Here is a 22,987-nt window from a genome sequence, read left to right as displayed (position 1 = left end):
CCACGGGCACTGCCCAGGACCCCCTGATGTCCCTTGTTCTACCTGCTAGGCTGCCTATGTATCTTCTAATGGCACTGCCTCTTTGTTAGTGAGGTGATGTGTAGACCCTGATGACAGCTTAGGTTTGAATCTTGGCTCCAGCTCTTATTTGCCTGTGTATTCTTGGGGAAGTTAACTAACCTCTTTACCTCAGTTTCCTCATTTGTGAGATGAGAATAATAATGATACTTTGTGAGATAATTAGTTCACTATACAAGGAGGAAATAATCAGTGATGTTCACATTATTATTATTATTAGAGATGGAATTTTGCTCTGTCACCAGGCTGGAGTGCAGTGGCACCATCTCAGCTCACTGCAACCTCCACCTCCTGGGTTCAAGTGATTCTCCTGCCTCAGCCTCCTTAGTAGCTGGGACTACAGGTGCACGCCACCACGCCCAGGTAACTTTTATATTTTTAGTAGAGATGGGGTTTCACCATGTTGGCCAGGATGGTCTTGCTCTCTTGACCTCGTGATCTGCCCACCTTGACCTCCCAAAGTGCTGGAATTACAAGCATGAGTCACTGTGCCCGGCCATGTTCACATTATTTTATGGCATGTCTTCTACATGTTTCCATAGCTGGACTTTGGCATTAGGTATGTACTCATCTTTTGTTTAGTACTCTGGGGCTTCTCAAATACCCATCCATCACCAGCTTACAGTATATCCCTTAGATAGGTTGCTTGAAGAGATGTTTGAGGTCATCCAGTATACGTGCATTTAATCAAATTTTAGGGTATCTCACTATTTCCACATTATATTGTTCTTCACTTCCAAATAGTTGGCAAAGTTGATGCACTCTGCATTCACGAAATTGAACAAAATCATTTTCCTTTAGGAGAATTCAAGACAAGCACATAATCACAGCATCCTAAATGGCTTTTGACCATGGGGGGAAAGCCAGAAAGATGACATTTCCCAGAAATGGAGCTCAGCTGGGGCTGACATGAGTCCTACTGAAGATAGCTAAAATCTGGAGCCTATAGTTAGGAAGGGGTTTGAAACAGATCATATCAGCAAGAATTCCTCTCTCACCTTCTCTCTCTTTCTCTGTTGTTCTCAATTCGCATATCCATCCACCCACCTCCCACCCATCCACCCATCCATCCATCCATCCATCCATCCATCCATCCATCCATCCATCCACCATCCATCCATTCATCCACCATCCATCCATCCATCCATCCATCCATCCATCCATCCATCCATCACCCATCCATCCTCCATCCATCCACTATCCATCAATCCATCCATCCATCCATCCACCCAGCCACCATCCATCCATCCATCCATCCATCCATCCATCCGCCATCCATCCATCTTTCTTGCATGCTGCCAGATCTTTTTCATCTAAAAAGCAAGCTAGAATTGATATATTTGTTAACTTGATTGGTTACTCAGTTGAATTGACCAAACTGATGACCTGTTTTAGTTATATAGACCCAGCTAAAATATTAGCACATTGTTCTGATTTTAAAAAATCAGTGGAGTCTTTATTTGTGTGTGTGTATATATATATATATATATATATATATATTTTTTTTTTTTTTTTTTTTTTTGAGACAGGGTCTCACTCTGTCACCCAGGCTGGAGTGCAGTGGCATGATCTCGGCTCACTGCAACCTCGACCTCCCAGATTCACTCCTGCCTCAGCCTCCTGAGTAGCTGGGATTACAGGTACTTGCTACCATGCCCAGTTAATTTTTTGTATTTTTTAAGTAGAGACGGGGTTTCACCATGTTGGCCAGGCTGGTCTCGAACTCCTGACCTCAAGTGATCCACCTGCCTTGGCCTCCCAAAGTGTGGATTACAGGTGTGAGCCACCACGCCCAGCCAGTATTCAGCTGTGTTTTTGATATGTGATTCATTCTTAATATTTACTATTGTGAATAGGTACTTGTTATAAATGAGGGTGGAGCTTACATGTATATTCAAAGCTCCAGTGGGTTGATGATAACTCCCCTATAGTCTTGTGTTCCTGTAGGCATTCATGATGGATGCTTTTTCTCAAGGCCAGAAGGACAAAATCTTCCTTGGTTTTGATTGGAGCCATAAAATGAAACACATGGGAAAAGCACATTGCTTCCATTACAATCTTTCCTATATTGGATATAGAATCCTCTTATTTCATAAGGCCTTCAAGCACTGACTTTTTAAAAAAAGAATCTTTTTCATTTATGGATGGTGCCTCAGGCATCCACTATGTGTTGGGCGCTTAATAAATAATAATAACAGTTATTATTATGGAGCAGAAATCTGCTGATCCTTTCACATGAATGGAACCCTGAGACCCCGGTTCTATTGTGTAGGAGGGTGTATTTGTTTTAATGTCACATTATTGTAGATTTTTATTTCAATGCATCAGCATTCCATTTATCCACATGCTTCAAAATTTATGGTTATTACTGTGTATGTTTTTCTGTCTCCTCTATATGGAAAAGCTTCAAATTCTTTTCTTTCTAAGTTTCAAGAATTAAGATAACAGCATAAAATGCATAATATATTTATGCCTCAGTAAATAATGTAGGAAGTGAAAGAACCTCTGCATGTGATTGGACTCATTTTGTCTGTATTTTTCTCACATGAAGAATTTCTGATCAGTTTCTTCCTTATCACTTTGGGAAATAGTAGAAAATGTGATTAAAGGCATACATAATCTGAGCTGTGTTCCCAGAACTATTTTTATTTAGTGTTGCTGTATTTAGGTGATGAGATGTTTATGCCACAGCAATGGACTTTTCAAGTCACCCTATATTCAGTAAATATATTGTATTTAAACCTCTTATAGATTTTTGTTTGTTTGTTTGTTTTTGCTTTAAATATTTTACAAAGTATTTTGGATGAAAAGATTTCCCAATAAGGGTGATACATTTTCCACCACTTCATGAAATGAATATGACGTCATGTTTTCTTCATGACTCAAAGTTGTCATGAACCTGAGTGGTAGGGCATTGCAATTTCTTCCGGCATTATCCAGATGTTCTCACACGAAACATCTCCATGCTGCTTTCCTGAACATCTTTGTCAGTTCTGTCAGCCCTGCATTATCATTTTTTTTTCTGTCTGCTGCTCTTTCTGCCTCCAGTGTTCCCTTCCCTCTTACCCTATACTTTTTTTTTTTTTTTTTTTTTTTTTTTTTTGAGATGGAGTCTCCCTCTGTCACCCAGGTTGGAGTGCAGTGGTGCCATCTTGGCTCACTGCAACCTCTGCCGCCTGGGTTCAAGTGATTCACCTGCCTCAGCCTCCTGAGTAGCTGGAATTACAGGTGTGCGTCACCACGCCCAGCTATTTTTTGTATTTTTAGTAGAGGCAGGGTTTCATCATGTTGGCCCAGCTGGTCTCGAACTCCTGACCTCAAATGATGCACCCACCTCGGCCTCCCAAAGTCCTGGGATTACAGGTGTGAGCCACCGCATCTGGCCCCTCTTACCCTATACTTATAATGTGACCTTTGAGTTGGAGAAATACACAATTGACACTGTTGTTATTGTATGTTACATGAGAATCTGTAAGCCAGGAGAAAGGTGTGTTATATTGTGTGACTCCTCTGGGCACCCAAATGGGATTTATAAGATTATTTCAGTGGGAAGAATGCATTTTCATGGAAGAAAACTTTTAAAGAATTTATTTGGAATAAACTTTTTCAACAAAACCATTGCAAGGGGTGGAGAATGGCTTTTGCACTGTATTTTCATCTCCTGGAGTCCAGGGACCACCTGCTTTTCTTAGGACCTCGTGTTGTGCACCTGGCACCTAGCCTCTGTTAGGAAAAGTGGCACAGGAAAATAGCTAATCATAAACACTTGGGATTTATGTTGCACTTTATCATTTGTAAGCCCTTTCATAAACAATATTTCATCGAATCTTCACTAAAATCTTGTGAAGGGGCTTTTCCTATTCCAATTTTACAGAAGAGTAAACTTAGGCCACATCCACGCCTCTTGTGAAGAGACGAGTGTTATCAGTCGCAGGCCCAGTTCTCAGCCATTCTATTGTCTACAGAGAGCAAAGAGGTCCCCCCAGACCCCTCCTGATTTGTTAACACAGTTCTCATTGTGTGGATCAGTTCAATCCAAGCATGTTTATTAAGGGTACCTTGAACAAAAGTCCAGCCCTTTGCCCTTTCCTGGGATTTTCCTGAGCCTTCAATAGAAATCTATCAACAGGAGAGTGTCTGAGGCCTCTAGTGCTGAATACATGCTCTATTCAGAGAATATTTAGGGTAGACCATCCCATCTTCCCAGGTGTCCCAATCAGCCAAAAAAATTTGTATAAGCCTATAAACTGCAGCTAAACTCACATCTATCGTGGTTATATATGTGGACTGATGGTGGCTTTTTCCTCTGCATTAATCAATTATGTTTTTTCTAAGTTGCTTTTCTATCTAGCCAGAATCTACTTAAAATAAAAGTGTGTAGGACTTTGAATTGGAAAACAGGTTGGCTGTATCCAGTAAAGCTAATCACACGCTTACCCTATAATGCAACAATTCCCATTCCTACGTCTACACCCAAGAGAAATGACTGACAGGCAGGTACAAGAGTGCTCACAGCTGCTTTTCTGATATTCATCTACAATTGGAGATATCCCAAAGGTCTATCCTCAGGAGAATGGATAAATATTATATAGCAAAACAACAAGAATTACTGAAATATACCAGAGCATGCATGAATGGGTAAAACAAGCAAGATCCAAAAGAATCCATTGATGTGAGGTTCAAGAACTGCACGGCTGATGTATGATGATAGAAACTGGATCAGTATTTATCTCTGTGAGGACAGTTGTGGACCAGGATGGAGCACAAGGAGCCTGTTGGGTGCTGAAAGTATTCTTTTTTTTTTTTTTTTTGATATGGCGTCTTGCTCTGTCACCCAGGCTGGAGTGTAGTGGTGCGATCTCAGCTCACTGCAACCTTCGCTCCCAGGTTCAAGTGATTCTCCTGCCTCAGTCTCCTGAGTAGCTGGGACTACAGGCGCGTGCCACCACGCCCAGCTAATTTTTGTATTTTTAGTAGAGACGGGGGTCTTATCATGTTGTTCAGGCAGGTCTTGAACTCCTGACCTCGTGATCCGCCCACGTTGGCCTCCCAAAGTGTTGGGATTACAGGCGTGAGCCACTGCGCCCGGCCAAAACTATTCTATATGTGGTGATTACATAGATGGAGATGTGAGTTAGTATTCATTGAGCTCATACTGGATGCTGTGCATACTACTCAGTCTACCCCTGTAGGACCCGGGCACTCATGCCTCCACCGCTGGGAATGTTGACATCACAGGGCTCTCGACTGAGTTCATCTCTAGGAATTGCCCTTGGTTATGTTCCTCCCCGAGAATAGCCAGCATGCAGAGACTTAACCTTTGGAGGTAAAGACCTGAGCCTGTGCCAGTTAAGGCACCTCTCCAGGGCCATCCCAGTTCTGGAGCTCTTACAGGATCAGTCGAAGCCTTTCTCATGACTGCATTGCAGCCCAGCTCTTCTCTCTGTCGTGTGTTGCTGCTTTATTGCCTAATAGGTAAGGTTGGCTACCTGCTTTGCAGAGCTCAATGCAAAATAAAAATGTGGGCCTCCATTCATACATTCTGAAGAATTCCAAAATGTTGACAACAGAGCTCTAGGTGAAGTGAGGGCCCTTCTACGTGCACGACCCAGGACTGTGGCACAGGTTGTACTCTTGTGAAGTCAGCCAGATGTCAATCTGGGAGCACTCCCCCGTCAACCACCAGAAGGCAAATCTCTGTCTCAGAGGCTCCTCCCCACAGGGAAATATGGACAGTGATGGAGCTTCACAGTAAAGATTTAGGCACTTGACTGTACCTGCTGTATTGAAGAAAAAATTAACAAAATAGAAAAGAAATCGTAACAGCATCTGGTAGGATGAATAATGCCTCCCAAGGATGTCCACATCCTAATTCCCAGAACCTGTGAATATAATTACCTTACATGGTAAAAGGGACCTTGCAGATAGAAGAAAAATTAACAAAATAATAGAAAAGAAATTTTAAGAGCATCTGGTAGGATGAATAACACCTCCCAAAGATGTCCACATCCTAATTTCCAGAACCTGTGAGTGTAATTACCTTACATGGCAAAAGGGACCTTGTAGATGTGATTCAGTTAAGAATCTTGAGATGGGGAGATTATCTTGGATTATATGGGTGGGTCCAATGTAATCACAAAGGTCTTTATAAACGGGAGTCAGGAAGCTGGCTTTGAAGAGGGTGGAAGGGGCCACAAGCCAAGGGAGCCAGAAGGCCTCTGGACGCTGGAAAAGTCAAGGACACAGATTCTCCCCTAGAACCTCCAAATAGGAACATGACTCTGCTTATATGTTGATTTTAGCCCCACAAGACTCCTTCTGGACAACTGACTTCCAGAACTGGAAGAGAATAAATGTGTTGTTTTAAGCCACCCAGCTTGGGGTACTTTGTTATAGCAACCACAAGAAGCGAAAACAGAGCTGCTGCTATTCTTGACGTACGGGGGGACTGGTCCTCTGTAAAAGCAAGCTGGCTAAAGGGATCTAGGAATGACATGGGGAGCATTTTCCCAGACTTGTCACCCAAAGATGTCCTGGGAAGATGCAGGGCCCGGTTGTCTGGCTTCTTTATCCTGGATGTGGGGAGTGTAGACTCCCTCCGCAGGCCCTGGATCCTGGGACAGGGGTAGAGACCCTGGCCATGGGGAAGGGGGAATGGGCATGGAGAGCTTCTCTTCCTCTGTGGCTGACTAGAGAGCCAATGTTTCCATCCCCGTCTCCAGTGCATTTGTTTCTGCCTATGCTTGCAGGTCACAGGCCATCCTAGGGTGGTTTTCTGAGGCCCACCTCCTGCTGCCCCTGCCTGTATTCTTCCCAGCTCCTCTGCCCAGTCTGGATCCATCTTGGCTGCTGCACGTATTTTGGCCCTTGCTGCTCCAAGTCCCACACTGAGCCTGGTATCCTGGGCAGTCATCTCTGCAACTGGGCCTCTGACGGCACCTGCTCCAACCTGAGGGTTTCCCTGGCCTGGGGCCAATCAGAACTCTCCAGCCCCATTTCATTTTCCTCTTCCTTATGGTGAGCTTTCCAGTGTCCCCTGGATTATCTTGATGTGTTGTGGGAGCTCCATATTCTCAGGGTGTAGAATTTGTTCTTTCAGAATGAACATGTTAATTACGGGCTTTCGTAAATCATGCTTGTGTGCACTGCACGGTAAGGAAAGCATGACAAATAACTCCGTGAGTTCTCCTCCTTCCAGCTCATGGAAGTCAGCCCTGCGGGGTGCCCCCAGCCCATTGGCACAGCAGTGGAGACAGACGTGCAGGGCATAGGCAGTGACTGCCTGTGCTGATCTGAAACATTTGCCCAGGGCGTGTTGTATTTAAATTGGTTCTCTGTCAGATTGGTTGGAAAACAGTCAGAAGTTCAAATGCAGTCGGCCTTGATTCGTTTATTAGTTGTTTGGTTATTGGGAACTCGAAGGAAAGAGAGGATGATCCCATGAAAAGGCATCTTCACGTGGTGGCAAGAGCACATGGGTCAGACACAGACAGACCTGGGCTCACAAAGCACTACCACTTTCTAAAAGGTAAGATTTTGGGCGAGCTCCCAGTCTCCTCATTCATAAAATGGGTAATAATAATATCTACCTTTTAGGGTTGTTGATGAGTTAAATGAAATGATACGAATAACCTCATTTAGTACCTGGCATATGGCAAGGGCTCCAGAAAACCCCCTAATAGTCTCACCTTGCATTATGGTCTAATTATGCTAGACTTCTAAAGATCCAAGCTGCAGGCACTACCAAACACGCCATTGCTGAATGTGGAACAGTTTTCTTATTCTATATTTTGTAATTTCTTATTCTGTAATACTGTTCTTCCTACATGCTGAGCAACGGCTCTCAGGTGTGCAGGGGAAGCGTGGGTCCCTATTAGAATACGTCGCTGCTCAGATTTGCCCTTCACATTAGATTTGGGTTTGCTGCTCTTGGCGTTGTTGGAGGAAAAAGGCTTTTTCAAATTCTTAAGTGGAATTAGCACCAAGTTTGGATGCCTCAGGTCGCATAGTTTTCCTATACTGTGAGGAAGGGCCTCCTTCACTTATGAAGGCTGGGGCATGAGTTTCATGGCCCTAGAGGTGGGAAAGCCCGAGCTTGGCTCTTCTGGCTTAGTGAAGCATGTGGTAAAGAAGGATAGAGTCAGAGAACGACCTCTGGGGAGTGGCAGCAGTGCTTTGGAAACATCCGGAGAGGTACAGAGGAGGTCTCCCAAAAGATGGGACCACTCGCATGCTTGCCTGCCTTGTCTTCTAAGAAAATGCCTGTCCTCTGTCACTCCGACATGACACATGTTGATAGTACAGCAGTGTTGGCAGGAGCGGGCTAGATCAGTGAGGTTGGCTTGAACGTGGTGGAGTGTGGGATGCAAAGATCCTTGTTCCCCAGTGGTGGAAGGTGTAGGCCTGTGGCTGGGCCTTTGAGCCTGGTGGTAGTTGGCCCTAACCATGGACTCTTGAGGGGAGGTTCCTCGTGTTGAGGACAAAAAGCCACACTCTGGAGACCACGGATATGATGATGATCAGCTGTCCAGCCACTCAGTAGCAGAGACCAAGGAAGATCCAGAGGACGCCATAGATCCAAGGACCTTCTCTCCTCCTTCCATCTCCATGCCTGGGAAGACACAGTGAGCTCCCCTCACACCTTCTGGCACCTTCTGGCACCATCTTAGGGAAGAGGATGAACATTTGCCAAGGGAGACGGCAAAAAAGCCTCCTTGCTTGAGGGCTGAACTTTGCATAGACTGGCTATTTAAACAAAAGTAGATTATTCGAACCTGAAGAGACAGAAGAATGCTTAATTGGCACATGTATGTTTTTCTGCTATCCAGGAAGAAAGTATATTAAGCACATTTTGTCTGCACATCTGAATGTAGTGTGAGTATATTTGCAACCCCAGTAGGTATTAAAGCTTTGTATGCAAGTTATTTCCACTCTGGTGATTGATGGGGATGATATATACAGCAGGGAGGAAATCAGGTCTCAGGGTGGTCAGGCTGTGGACTGGGAGGCAGGAGTTTAAGGTGATATTCTTTGGTAAAGTTATTTGCATGATGGAGAAAAGTCCCTCAAGCACTTCATCAGTGCTGCAGTCTTCAGATCTAGTACATGTTGTGGTTCTGATTTAATGTTCTTCAAGCCCCTTTCTGATTGTAATTTGATTTACTATTCTTTCCTAAGTGGTGGGAATCTGCTGGCTATGACCAAGAAATAGTCCAGTCAAACCAAGGCCATTAATTCATAGGCATTGGCTTATATATTAGTCTCTATTAATTTAATTATGGTGAGCTGGCCCTTGGTAGACAAAATATGAGGGCCGACAAAATCAGGACTGTGTGCCTTTAAGGCCGAAGGGTATGGCACTGCTGTGTGGTGAATCTGTTAGAGGCGATGCCACCCCATTCTCTCCCAGAAATGTTCCAGAATCACAGCATATCTTTCCCATTGACCAACAAGCCTTTTTGTAGAATTAATTAGCTATTTAAGTCTATGAAGGAAGAAGTTCTTTTTTTTTTTTTTTGAGACAAAGTCTCACTCTGTCGCCCAGGCTGGAGTGCAGTGGCACAATCTCAGCTCACTGCAACCTCCGCCTCCTGGGTTCAAGCGATTCTCCTGCCTTAGCCTCCCAAGTAGCTGGGATTACAGGCAAGTGCCATCACGCTTGGCTAATTTTTGTATTTTTAGTAGAGATGGGGTTTCACCATGTTGCCTAGGCTGGTCTCGAACTCCTGACCTCAGATGATCTGCCCACATTGGCCTCCCAAAGTGCTGGGATTTCAGGTGTGAGCCACTGCGCCTGGCTGGAAGAAGTTCTTAAATGTATCTTTGGTTGTTCTTGGCAGGCATAAATGTTTTATGTCTCTGATCCCAGGTTTAGGTTTTTGCTCATGCACTGTCTCAATTTGAAAAAGGATGTAGCTCTTGCTAGGCAGTCTCCACTTCTATTCTATTATTCCCGACTGAATAAAATCACATCACACACAGTGGAATCACATCGGATGAACACCTAACTTAAGTTCAACTGTATAAGCTCCCTATGTCACTGAAACACCAGAGTTTGGTCTAGGTGCCGCTGCTTGCTACACAGAAAGCCAACCACTGAGACAATAAATATTGCCAAGGAAGAAGGCTTTGACTGGGTGCTGCGGCCGAGGAGATGGTAGCTCAGTTTCAAATCCATCTCCCAGGCTGACTAAAGTTAGGGGTTTATATAGCAGGGAAGCAATGTAACCATGTGTAGGAAAACAGGAATTAGGGAGGGGTAAGGAAGAGAAGTTGGTCGACAGGAAGCAGGTGGGCAGTTAGGCAGTCATGATGGGTGAGTGGTCTGACAGTGATCCGGTGAATTTCAGCTCCTTGATACTATCTGGGAGGCCTGATGGTTGGTTTCCTGAAAAAGGAACTTAGATAAGACAAATGTAGCTTTCTCAAGTTTTAAGACTGGAAGCATTAATTTCTATGTTTATTCAAAGAAACTGTAAACATCACCTCTATGGGACAATTGGATCAGTTCCAACTACAAGAGGAAAATGACAATTTCAGTGGTATTATTGGGAAGAGAAAGATGCATCACTGGAAGACATGCAGGATTAGTCGTCACTCTTCATAGTTCATCAGACATTCAATTTTTATGCACAGTAACAGACTGGGTACTGTATACCAAGCCACATGTACTAACAAGCAAGGGCTCTGGAGCCAGACTTCCAGCGTCCAAACCCTGGCTCCACCACTGAGTGGCTCTGTGACCTTGGGTGAGTGTCACTAACTCATTCTGTGCCTCAGTTTCCCACATCTATAAGAGGGAACTAGTCATCATACCTACATCTCAAGGCTAGAATAGTGCAGGTCACAGTAAGCTCTTACTAAGTGCTAGGTGTTATCATGATTACTGTTGCTTGGCTTAACAAGCTACCTAAGGGATTTTCAAGGGCAACTTTCACTCCACATGACTATTCCATTACTTGCTGATGTGATAAATTTCATGGGGCTTACCTACAGAAAGTAGGACCTGTAGGACTTCTCCACTGGGAATATCTCCAAAGTTCAGTCTTCTCAAGGGGCCCAAGAATTATGATCCTCCAGCTCTGTGGGAAGGAGGGCCACCCTCCTGCCCAGGCTCCCCAGCCTCCTCATGGCTAAGCTAACCTTGATGGAGACTTCCAACAAAGCATTTCTGCAGAGCGATCCATAAAGCATGACCTAGAGCTATATTAAACCTACAAAAATCAGCCTCCAGCAGTGAGAAACAGTTTTATATGATAAAGTAGTGATTACATTTTCTAATGATTGCTCAAAGTATTCTGTAATCTACAGGGAATATATTTCATAGCTCCCGGGAGCCCTCCCAGCTCCCCTATTTGTCATTCCAAGTTTAAGTAGAGCACAGAATATGAGAAGAACAATCTTGGCATACATTATCCTTTTGGGAACTCAATATATGCCATATCCATGTAATTAACCCAGGTTTAGCCAGCCTACTCATGATGCCACAACTTGTCCTCAGCAACAAGGATGAAATATTGTACGAATTACCCATTGGGACCCCCACCCTCACCCCAAGTTTCTTTTTTAAAAAATAGGATCATATTTTTCAGACTCTTAGTAAAGCGCTAGCATTTTCCATTTCTCAGCAAGAATTTTTTTTCTGTTAAAATGTTTAGCTCTGTGGATGATTGTGAAGTCTTCAGAGGGGCTTATGGTGACATGCAGTGGGCCCTTGTCTAACATTTCATCAAAGGAGCTTTCTCATCAGAGAATTTAGAGCTGTTTTTCCTGCTTATCCGTCAAACTGGCTTCCAAGTCAAGCATTCCTGGCTTGAAGTTTGAACCCCAAAAACCAGACTTAACAGTTTTTCTGCAGGAAGAGCAGTGTCCCTTCCTTTAACTTGCAATTGCTAATCATGAAGAACAAGCTCTGTGTTCAGATTCTAACAAGCTGTGGAAAAGATAGGAGGACATTAGAAAGCAGAAAAGCAGGATTTATTGGTTTTATTTCAGGGCTGGGTCATTGTTGGAGGGGCAAGTAGCTTTGTTAATTGATCTCAAAGAGGGAGCTGCTGGCTGCTGTTGCGAATGAGGCTGTAAAGATTACTTTCTCACTCAAAAATATGCACTGGGTCCCAAAGACTTCTATTTAAAATATAAAGCTACAATGATACCATATTCTATTATAGAACATGAAACATTAAGTTGAAAGGGACTTAACAGATAAATAAAAGCATATACACAGTATATATATATATACGTGTGCCTGTATGCACACACAAGCACATGCACACATGTCTGCCCCAGTGTCAAGCTTGATGCTGTGCATGTGTGTTTCATCAAAGAAGCACAGATTTGGAACCAGGGCTATTATTTCCAGTGACTTGCTGCCTCGGGGGCAGCAAATGGAAAAGAGCAGGGTAGCCTGCTCTCTCAGCGATGTTCACTGCATCTCAAAGGTTATGTCATGTTTCCCGGCAATTGACTCAATAGGTTTGGATTCTGCAACATAAGGTCAGGCTGTTTCCACTCTGCTTATGTTTCCTGGGGAACGTGCCTTCCAGTTGTTTTCACATTGACCTCATTACCCAGTCCTGGTGATGAGCTTGACATGGACATGCTGCGGCTGCGGCCGGCTTGGGGCTGCCCTGCCCTTGCAGACCCCATGCCTCTGACCTGACCAGTGTGGCTGGGGATGCCTCTGCCTTGGCTCAGAAAGGTCTGATCCCTCTGCTCCCCCTGCAAAGTCCCTCTGCATACAACTGAACAAAAATTACAGGAGGACCAGGATGAGATGGAGGGGCTGGGGACCCTTTCTCCCATTTATGCAAGGGCAGGCAATGAAGAGGAGAGACAGGAGACACCCAGGCCCCTAGTCTAAGATCTTCAATGCATGAGCAGAGGGACCTGACCAACACCAATATAACATTTCCCAAATTCCCCAGTTCCTTTTCAGAGGGAATGTTTTCTAATCAGTTCTGGAAGCTCATTCTGAGCAATGAGAAAGTGATTTTCTCAAATCCACTGTCTCTGTATACCTCCTGTCTACACAAATTTCTGCTGGGTCTCTTTCAAGGGAATTAGAATACTTTTTAAAACATAATTGTTTTGGCTCTGGGTAGTGGACTTCACCAAAGTAAAAATACTCAGTGAACTCAAGGTTTTATTTCCCCAAATGACTGAGGAACTTGAGCATGAATCAGTGACGAAATGCTTCTATTAGCTGAGTCCTAGACAGCCAATTAGAATGGGCTGGGCTGGGCTGGGCTGTGAGCCCATGAGGATCTAGGCCTGCCATAGTTCCATCCTTTGTGTTGTGATAATGGGTGGGTTATTTAAAATCTCAGAGCCTGTCAAATGGAGGATTAGTATGAGGATTGAAGGAGATCACACCTAGGGAGTACTTAATAAAGGCTAATTTGAGTCATTTACCTCTGTGTTTCGGGTTTTCACTATGGAGTGATTTTATTAACCTGGGTCTGGCCAATTACTTGGTGAAGCCAGAAGAAAGAAAACTAAAGTCTGAAGTGGGGGAAAAAAAATTCTGGACCATGAAGGTCAATCAGGCAGTAGAATAATTTCACTCAGGAAGTTGTCAAGACTCTAGAACTAGAGATATTCAAGGAAAAATTGGATGTCATACTTACGGAAGTAATATCGGAAGACTTTGTGCCCTTGTGTATGAGTCTGAAGGAGATGACCCAGCAGCTGATCTATAAATAAAATGCTCTTTTTGTTGTCTAAGATTTGGGTGCTGTGGGAATGGCAGGATGTGTCGGGCACTTTGAAAAGTGATAATACAAAAGCATTGCAGTACAGTGAAATCCTGATGTTTCTCTTCATCACAAAAAACATATTCGAAACGTGAAGCCCATTCTAAAATGCAAATACGACCAGGCTGCTCCCTCTCTTACAGTAGACTAGCCTAGTCTGTATACATGTGTACAATGAATTGTTCAACACAAGAGAAGTTTACTTTTGTGTTCCACGGTCTGAGGCAGCTGTTCCTGGTTGGTGGGAAGCTTTCTTCCATACAGTGACTCAGGAATCCAAGCTCCTTTTGACGTATGGTTCTACTGTCTCCTACCCCCTTGTCATCCTCTACATGAACTGGTGAAAGGAGAAAGGATTTGTAGGAGGGGCAGTCACCTGTTAAAAGCCTTGGCCAGAACAGGCGCCATCTTCCTTTTCATATTCCTTCGGTTAGGACTCAGCCACATGGCCACACCTACCAGCAGAAGCTGCTGGAAATTGGGGTCAGCTGGATGCCCAGAGGAAGAAGAGGAGAGAGCTCCAGCTGGCCAGCCTGTGGTTTTGGCACATTCCGTTTCCTAAACTCGTTCAACTGATCCCACACTGCTCTGAGATTGGAGCATCGACATCAGGCAAAGTCACCATCTGTTATCTTTGAGAAACAGATAAAAGCTATGGATCTCTCTCCATGCTTATACCCATTGCCAATTCTGCTTGCAGGTTTACAGAGGGTTCCCAGATGCCGTCAGTGGAATTCCCAACCTTGGAGGACAGAGAAATTGCTCTCCAATAATGCCCAGTCTAAGAAGTAATGTTTTCACGAAGAACTAGTGCACCTTCAGAAGACCTGCAGTGGATAGGGAGTATGTAAGGGGCTAATTTTGATGCCAGCAACCCTAGGATTGGTTGCTGGGGAAAGGCATAGAGGTAAGCTGCTAGCCCGAGCTGAGCTGTTTCCTCCATAGTGCTGCTAACAAGGCTCTGCTTGATCTCAGTCCTCTGCTGTGTGGCTCCCCACCATGAAGGCGAGTCTGACTTGTGTACACAAGGTTGAGAATCCCCAGGCTCCAATTGCACAGAAACGTGGGCAGGTGTCATAATTAGCCATTTCCTGCCAAAACCCCACAAATAAGCTACAATCCTCGAGACAACCCTCTGGAACCTTTTACAGAATTGTTTGCAGACCAAATAATATTCATCTGTAACCTGCTTAATTACCCAAGCCATATATTTAACTGCCCTGGACTTGCTGGTACACATTTTACAGAGAATCGGATGTAAGGGGAGTTAATGGCAGGAGGGCCTCTAGCCACCATGTGGAACTCAACAAAGCAGAAACCAAGGCTTGTCTGCCCACAGACTAGTCAGATGGGTGCGAGGTTGCAGTTTCCTGTTCTATTCCTTGCCTGTCAAGACCAATAAACATGTCATGAAGTGACCAGAAACGTGTGGATTTGGAAAGGCAAACGTTGACATTGAGCACACTGTTTCAATGGTCTGAGCGGCCTCTCCTGTCTCTCTTGAGGGGAAGTTAAGGCACTAGATTTTTTAAAAAGTGCAAAACCCCCTTAAATACCCGGTTTTCCACCTCCTGACATTTTCCGCACATCTCAGGAAATATATGAACTAAACGAGTATTTTCCCCTCTAAATTAAGAAAATCAAATTTGATGTTAAAAAGTCTAAATGATATTTACTGACTAATGGAGGCAAGGGCTTGGATTATGCTTGCTGAGGACATAGATGAAGTCTTTCCTCCCCCTCCTCCTGCCGCTATCAGCAAGACATTGAGGGAGCCACTGTGCGTTCTACACTACAAGAGAGATGCCTGCTGGGGAGAGCGTCCTGTGATCTGCCAAAATGTTTAGAGGCGGCACTGTTGGATAAGCAATTGTTCGGGTTATCCGGAGATTCATGCAAATGTATTTTCATCACAAAATTTATTTGTAAGTGCATAGACACAGCCACAGCCTCTCCATTCAGAGGGTCACAGTTCCTATCTGGTTTTGCAGTTTGAAAATCATGTTACACCTGTTAGCCTTTTCCTCACCACAAAGGCTGTTCCTGGGCCAATGCAAACTTAACTGTATGGTTAGATAAGAAAATTCAGATGAGAAAGTATTGTGTGAAATACAATATGGAGAATATTGGGAGTGAACAAGATGTAACAGGAATACAGAAACAGTAATATTCTCTCCCATATTTGCAAAGTATAGTATGTGTGAGTGTGTATGAGAGAGAGAGAGAGAGATTGGATGGTATTCATTTGAACAAAGCTTTATTTAAAAAATTGAAATAAACTTCCATTGTTTCCTTTTCTTATTATTGTAAATAAGGCTTCAATGAACATCTCCCTGCAAATGACATATTTTCTTCTTCTAAATAATTTCCTCCAGAATAAATTTTATGCAGGGGAATATTTGGCGAAAGGGTGTGGATTGGTTTTTGGTTTTTAAAATATACATATTGTCAAGTTACTTTTCAAGAAGAATTATACAAATTTATGGTGTTACCAGCAAATAATGAATTTAACAATTTTATGAATAATGAATTATACAAATTTATGGTGTTACCAGCAAATAATGAATTTTGTCACTGTTGGATTCTGCCTCATTCATTTACTAAGTCTAAAATGGTCCTCATTATTATTTGAATTTGCTTTTCTTTTATTTATCACAATCTTATTTTGCTGTGTGCTAGCTTACTTTTTGTATTTTTCGGGGAATATTCAAATATCATGACTTTTGATTTTGCTAGATAGTGTTCTTTTCCATTTGAAGGAGCCTTTTATAAAACATCAGCATTATCCCTTCAAACATGTTGAAATCCATCAGTGATAATTACATTCATATCTGTAAAATGTGCATAACAATTCATTCCCTGGGCTATTGCACTGAATTATCGTGATAATGCATTCGAAAGTGCTTTGAAAAATCCCAAGCATTATGTACATGGAGGTATATGATGATCTTAATATGGAATTTATACTTAGTTAAAAGTGTAAGTATAAATAGAAATATACTCTGGCGATAAATAGTTCTATAGGAACTCATGTGCAAAAGATCTGGATATTTTAGCTAATCATGGGCTCAATAAGAGAAAATATTAGAACCCAAGTGATAAAGAGGTTAATATGAGACACAATTTATGCCTGAATATATGATGAACTTTTCCACCAAAAATTATCCATCGGGAAAAAAGCCACCTTATATTTAAGGTCTAACAAGTCTCTCATATTACAGGAAACAAGAATATATTGTATTATGAAGACATATGACCTCAATCAATGCCAGTTTTGAGGCTTACAGAGGCCCCTTGATAGAATTAGTTAAAAAAAAAAAGGAGGCAAAGAAATTTCACATGAATTTAGTGATTATTCCTGGGTGTGTGACCTCACAGTTTTAAATGCAAAATGTTGATTTAAACAAGTTTTTTAATTGATTTTTAGAGATCACTTGACAAAGCCAACAAGTAAGGGGTTATATTATGGAAATCACACATCTATAAACCTATGAGATGAATTTCAAGAGCCCAGCTGCCTAATATTATGCAAATGGGCACTTGTGGCTTGGGGGAACAACATAGTAAATGCACCACACACAGATGTAAACTTAAACCTTGAACTACAGGTGTAAGTACAATTTGAAACAGTATGGATGACTCTCATGAGCATAATATTGACTAAAATAAACTAGACACAAAAAACACTTACATAAAATTCAAAAGCAGGCACCTTTAAACTGCTGTGGTAGGAGTCAGGGTTCTGGTTTCCCTCTGAAGAGGAAAAGGGCGGGGCTTCTGGGGCACTGGTTGGTAATGAGTGCAAGGGTCGTTCTGTTGGCTCACTTTGAGCAAAATCAATAAGCCAAACACGGATGATTTGTGCCTTTTTCTGTATATGTATGTTTTACTTCAGTGAAACTTTTTTTTTTTTTTTTTTGAGACGGAGTCTCGCTCTGTCGCCCAGGCTGGAGTGCGGTGGCGCCATCTCGGCTCACTGCAGGCTCCGCCTCCCGGGTTCACGCCATTCTCCTGCCTCAGCCTCCCGAGTAGCTGGGACTACAGGCGCCCGCCACCACGCCCGGCTAATTTTTTGTATTTTTAGTAGAGATGGGGTTTCACCGTGTTAGCCAGGATGGTCTCCATCTCCTGACCTCGTGATCCGCCCGCCTCGGCTTCCCAAAGTGCTGGGATTACGGGTGTGAGCCACCACGCCTGGCCGAAACTTTTTAAAAATACTACACTTTGAGCAATTTAGAGCTAAAGATGATATGTTCTGGAAATCTGTTTTATTTATGTGACTCTGAAGGTGGCTCCAGTGACGGCAGGGATGATGTAATGATGCAAATGAAGAGTGAATAATGTTTTTGATAACATGTGTGTAGAAAAGAAAAGCCATGTTTTTATTTTGTGGTGGTCGTTGAGATGGGGTCTCACTATAGTGCCCAGGCTGGTCCTCAACTCCTGAACTCAGGTGATCCTCCTGCCTTCACCTCCCAAAGTGCTGGGATTAACAGGCATGAGCCACCACATCCAGCCAGAAAACTGTGCTTCTAAATTGATCTATTCTATTAGAATGTGTGATTCAGAATAAATATGTAATTTAATTCCTAAATTACCAAATTCGAATTTTAAAGTAGACATTTGACTATTTCATTCTAATTCTTCAAATTTATATCTAAGTTGGCCCTTCCCATTGGCAAACTGTAGCGTGGCCGTGTTTGGTGGGATTTTTTTTTTTTTTTTTTTTTTTTAATTTTGAGAAGCAGTTTGAGCTCATTTCCTGCATGTTTAGTTCTAGGTGCAATGTTTTAAGGGGAAGACTTACACTATGAAGCTAGCCCAGAAGAGGGTGACTAGAGTACTGAGGAGTTTCTACCTGGAAGGGCTGTAAGGTAAGATAAATCTTGGTGTAGAGGGTGTTTATGAATATGGGAAAGGCTGTCATGTGCAAAGAGGCTGGTACAGTCAGCTGGACCCAGGGAAGAGAACTAGGATGCTTGAGTGCAGGGCGCACTTCAAGCCAGTATTAGGAAGAATTTCATAACGACTGGAGCTCATTAGAAGGGAGATGAGATATCTTCAAATTAATCCCCATAGATTCAAGAATCCCTTAGATTAATCCCTTAGAAGATTCTGGGATAATCTGGATAATTATTTGTTAGAGATGTGTGTGGAAGGAATGTCTTCAGTGGATCAGGTCTTTTTATGATTTCTCCCAACCTCAAGAGCTCATGACGTCATGGTTCCTTTCTTAGCTGTCTCCAGCTGGTCAGCTCCGTGTCTGCAAAGTTTAGAACGCGAAGAGCTTATTTGTGAAGTGGTCCACACCATACAGTCAAGCCATTTTGACCCCAACCAGGAGCCAGGATAACCTGGTTTGGTTCTTGACAGTGATCAAATGAGCCAAAATAACATTTGTTCTCTTAGTTATTTTTCCTAGGTCAAACTTCTGAACCACTGGTGTGTTTTGTTTAGCTTAGAATTTAAAAAAAGAGCTTGTTGCCAACAAGAAGGAAGTTTTTTTTTGTTTGTTTTGTTTTAAACTTCAGATTCCTGGGTTTTTCTTGAAAAGCCACTGGTCCTACAGGCAGCAATGGGGTCCCTGTGTTTCTTGCATTCTGTAGAGGGGCTGGCATTCCTGGGCTCACTGAGGCCCCACCCAGCTGCTTCCCTTATTCGCTCACATTATCTGCCTGGCCCCTGAATCTGTTGAGCTTGCAATCCCTTTTCTAAGAAGATATTAATAGTTTTCCTTTCTTTCATGCATAATTTCAGTTGTCTTTAAAATCAATTAAATTTACAGAGATTAATCTATGGCAATGAAAAAACAGAGTCTAGTGCCTGTCAATTTTATATTCCAAGTAAAGGTGACCCTAAGAAGAACTGGTAGAATATCTGCTCACTTGCTTTTCAATGTGAATTTAGAATTTTATTTTTCTTATGGACTTAATCTCTTTGCTCTTCATTTTCTTCATCTGTAATATAAGGTTACTGAAGTAACAGACAACTGCCTCAGGAATAATTTTTGTGGATTAAATAAGGTCATGCTGGGAAGCACTTATGTCAGTGCCTGGCAGATAGAATGCTCTCAGTAAACATTTATTAAAAAGAGGGAGTATAATGAAGGAATGATCTAAAATTCATATTGTCTAAAATATGCTCAGTAGAATACATCAAGCTAGAAATCTCAAAATATTTACTGTGGCAATAAATTGACAAACATTTCAATAATTTAGCTGCTATTGTGTTTGGTGGTTTTCATAAAGGGTACGCCATTGTCCTGTTCACTTTCCAGCTCTCCTGCACTAACCCGGTGGTTACCATAGCCCTAGAAGGAGTTCTGTTAGGCTGGGGATGATCACTTGATGAGGCTGGTGTCCTCTAAAAAGTGGTACTAGTTTCCCCACTTGCTTATCTAGGATATCTCTTGAGGAAATTGTCTTCAAAAAGAGAAGCAAGACTAAAACCTAAACAAATGAACAAACCAAATAGTTAATTCCTTTTGGAATAAATGGAACAGCAAAAGTCTCTCAGGTGTTAACTTGGAGTCAGCCAAACTCAAGGTTAAGGGCACAGTCTTCCAAGACTGTCAAGTCTGCCCAAGACTTCTGACACCACTTACAAGTTTGGGAGTTCCCAGGGCCATCCTCACATGAGACAAGGTAACAACAAATTTAGGGGTTCCCATGGACTCCCTCAGGTTTGATAAACTGCCAGAATGACTCACAGAGTGCAGGAAAGCACCATACTTACAATTACAGTTTTATTATAGCAAAAGGACACAAATTAGAGCCAGCCACAGGAAGAGACACATGGGACGGAATTTGAGACTCAGAGGGTCTCAAAGGTAAAGCTTCGGTGTCCTCAGGGATGTGTTACCCTCCCGTTGTTGAAGTGTGATAATATGCAGCATTGCTAGCCTATGGAGGTCACTGTCTTAGTCCCTTTGTGCTGCTCCAATAAAATATCATAGACTATTTACTATACATAAAGAACACATATTTATTTCCCACAATTCTGGAGACTGGGAAGTCCAAGCTCAAGATGCCAGTGTCTGGTGAGGGCCCACTCCTCATAGGTGATGCTGTCTCAGTGACCTCAGAAGGCATAAGACCAGAAGAGAGCAAACTCACTCCTTCAAGCCCTTTTATAAGGATCCTAATTCCATCCATGAGGGCTCTGCCCTTATGCCTGAATCAACTCCGAAAGGCCCCACCTCTTAATACTATCACATTGGTGATTACACTTCAACACATAAATTTTGGGGGGACATTCAGAGCATAGCAGTCACCAAATATCAGTGTCCAGAGTTTTTATTGGGGTTTCATTATGTAGGCATGATTGATGGAATCCTTGACCAGCTGATATTACCTGATTCAGTGCCCCAACCTTCTAATCTCACTGGGCTTTCAAGGTGGCCAGCTTTCACCCTGAGTCATCTATGAGCACAAACTCTCCAGGGGCCCACCATGAGTCACCTCATCAGCATAAGTGGGGTCCACCATGAATAACAAAGGCACTGCTATCACTCAGGAAATTCCAAGGGTTTGGAGATTCAAAGGCTAGATTGCTGCTCTTTGGGTAGAGTTAATTCTTTACTACACAGGCACCTACCTGGGGCAGGCAGCCCCTGAGATGGTCCCCACTGACCCCCACCTCCTGGTCATACATAAGGTATGACCACCTCCTATGCTGAACCAAATGACTCATTTCTGGCAAATAGAATACTAAAAATGTGATGGATATCACTTCTGGGATTAGGGTACAGAAAGGCTCTGCCTTCCTTCCCTGTTACTCACCGTCTTCTTTTGCTTCTTGCATTGAGGAAGACAACTGCTATGTTGTGAGCGGCTCTATGGAGAGGCCCATGTGGAGGGAAGTGAGGAAGGCCTCTGGCCAACAGTCCAGGAGGAAGTGAAGCCCTCAGTCCAACAGCCTGTGTGGAACTGAACCCTGCAAACAACTCTGTGTGTGAGCTTGGAAGTGGATCCATATTCAGTCAAACCTTGAGATGGGACACCATGCTCTGCTAACACTTGATTGTGGTCCCAGCTAGGCCACTGCTGAAGTCTTGACTCAGAGAAACGATGATATAGTAAATGTTTGTTGTTTCAAGTTGGTAAGTTTTGGGATAATTTTTTATATAGTGATAATTTTTTATATACTTTAAAATAACACATTGCCCTATCCTTTGGTTACACTTTTCTCTTGGAACTCTGCTTGCCCATATATTACAGAAATATTTTTCAGATCATGGGCTGAAAGGTGGATTATGGATGCAATGTTTAAATTTAGCAATGTCATTTATGACTGTTCATATGAGCTTTGCTGCATAAAATGTTGATATTAATTTGTTTCCCTTTAAGACATTCTTAATGTTTACCTCTCAGTATTTTCTTTGTAATCAATTAATGTAAGATGAATATAGTTTGTAGGTTTTACCTTTCTTGATTCGTATACAAAACACACAACATCCAACCATTGTTATTTAAAGATTATCTAGGAGGAGATGATGGAAACTCTGTTTTGGGCCACCTTCTTTACACATTGGGTCTATTTCCCCTAACTTGAGTATATATTAAACTAGTGGGGGATTGAGCTACAAAAATGCTACTTGGTGAGAATTTTATTAATACAAATACTCAACTCTGAAGTTACGTTTTTGTGGAAAGTTATCACTTTGGAATTTGAATTTTCTTGGAGCTAAGCCACTGGTAGTTGTAAAAGCTACACCTGTAAATTTGCTCCCTAGAAGATACTTTCGTTTAGTGACCACTTGTTTCTCTGTGGATAAATTCAATTATAAATTACAATCGAATTGACGTTTTCATAGCATCCTTCACTCTCCAAGTATCTCAAGTCCTCTGTGAATTATAAAGTAATTACAGTGCTCAAAGGACAGTTTCATAATTGTGTCCATGAGCACAGACTTTCCTCTATGTTCGAGAAGGGCTCATTCCCAGCCGGGAACATTAAGTTGGATTTTATTGAGACTGGGGACTGCTAGTCCAGACAGCTGGGTGATCCCCTGCGCTATTTTGAAAAGTATCCTGGGATCTTTAATTTCCACCTGGATGGTCAGGGAGGTGAGAGAACGGCCCTCACTGGGTGTGACCTTGTATCCCACTTGGGGTCTTGAACCAGGGGACCCCCAACCCCAGAGGTGAGACATG

The 22,987-nt window shown here is 42.8% G+C and overlaps 1 long non-coding RNA gene across 2 annotated transcripts in view, besides 1 other annotated feature; it reads left to right on the top strand.

Annotated features, from left to right (window-relative positions):
- The window catches only part of LINC02351 (long intergenic non-protein coding RNA 2351), a 97,566-nt gene extending 74,939 nt beyond the window's left edge, over positions 1 to 22,627 (top strand). Inside the window, exons 1-3 of one of the 2 annotated variants that reach the window (NR_146566.1) lie at positions 14,502 to 14,739; positions 18,607 to 18,706; positions 21,644 to 22,627. This is a non-coding gene — a long non-coding RNA (long intergenic non-protein coding RNA 2351). Of the gene's footprint in view, positions 1 to 14,501; positions 14,740 to 18,606; positions 18,707 to 21,643 lie in introns of those variants that run through there. The other variant, NR_146567.1, reaches the window with a different exon arrangement.
- Positions 2,160 to 2,329: an enhancer, noted in NCBI's record as "experimental_42822 CRE fragment used in MPRA reporter constructs". NCBI's record gives its function as "activates a minimal promoter by MPRAs in K562 erythroleukemia cells, with activity observed for both the introgressed and non-introgressed 15:98887045 variant alleles {active_cell/tissue: K562}" and the evidence as "EXISTENCE:reporter gene assay evidence [ECO:0000049][PMID:34662402]".
- Positions 22,628 to 22,987: the final 360 nt, after the last annotated feature.

Source organism: Homo sapiens, chromosome 15 (assembly GCF_000001405.40).
Source record: "Homo sapiens chromosome 15, GRCh38.p14 Primary Assembly".
NCBI lineage: Eukaryota > Metazoa > Chordata > Mammalia > Primates > Hominidae > Homo > Homo sapiens.
The sequence above is the reverse complement of the archived record's forward strand: the minus strand, read 5'-3'. Positions and strand labels throughout refer to the sequence as shown.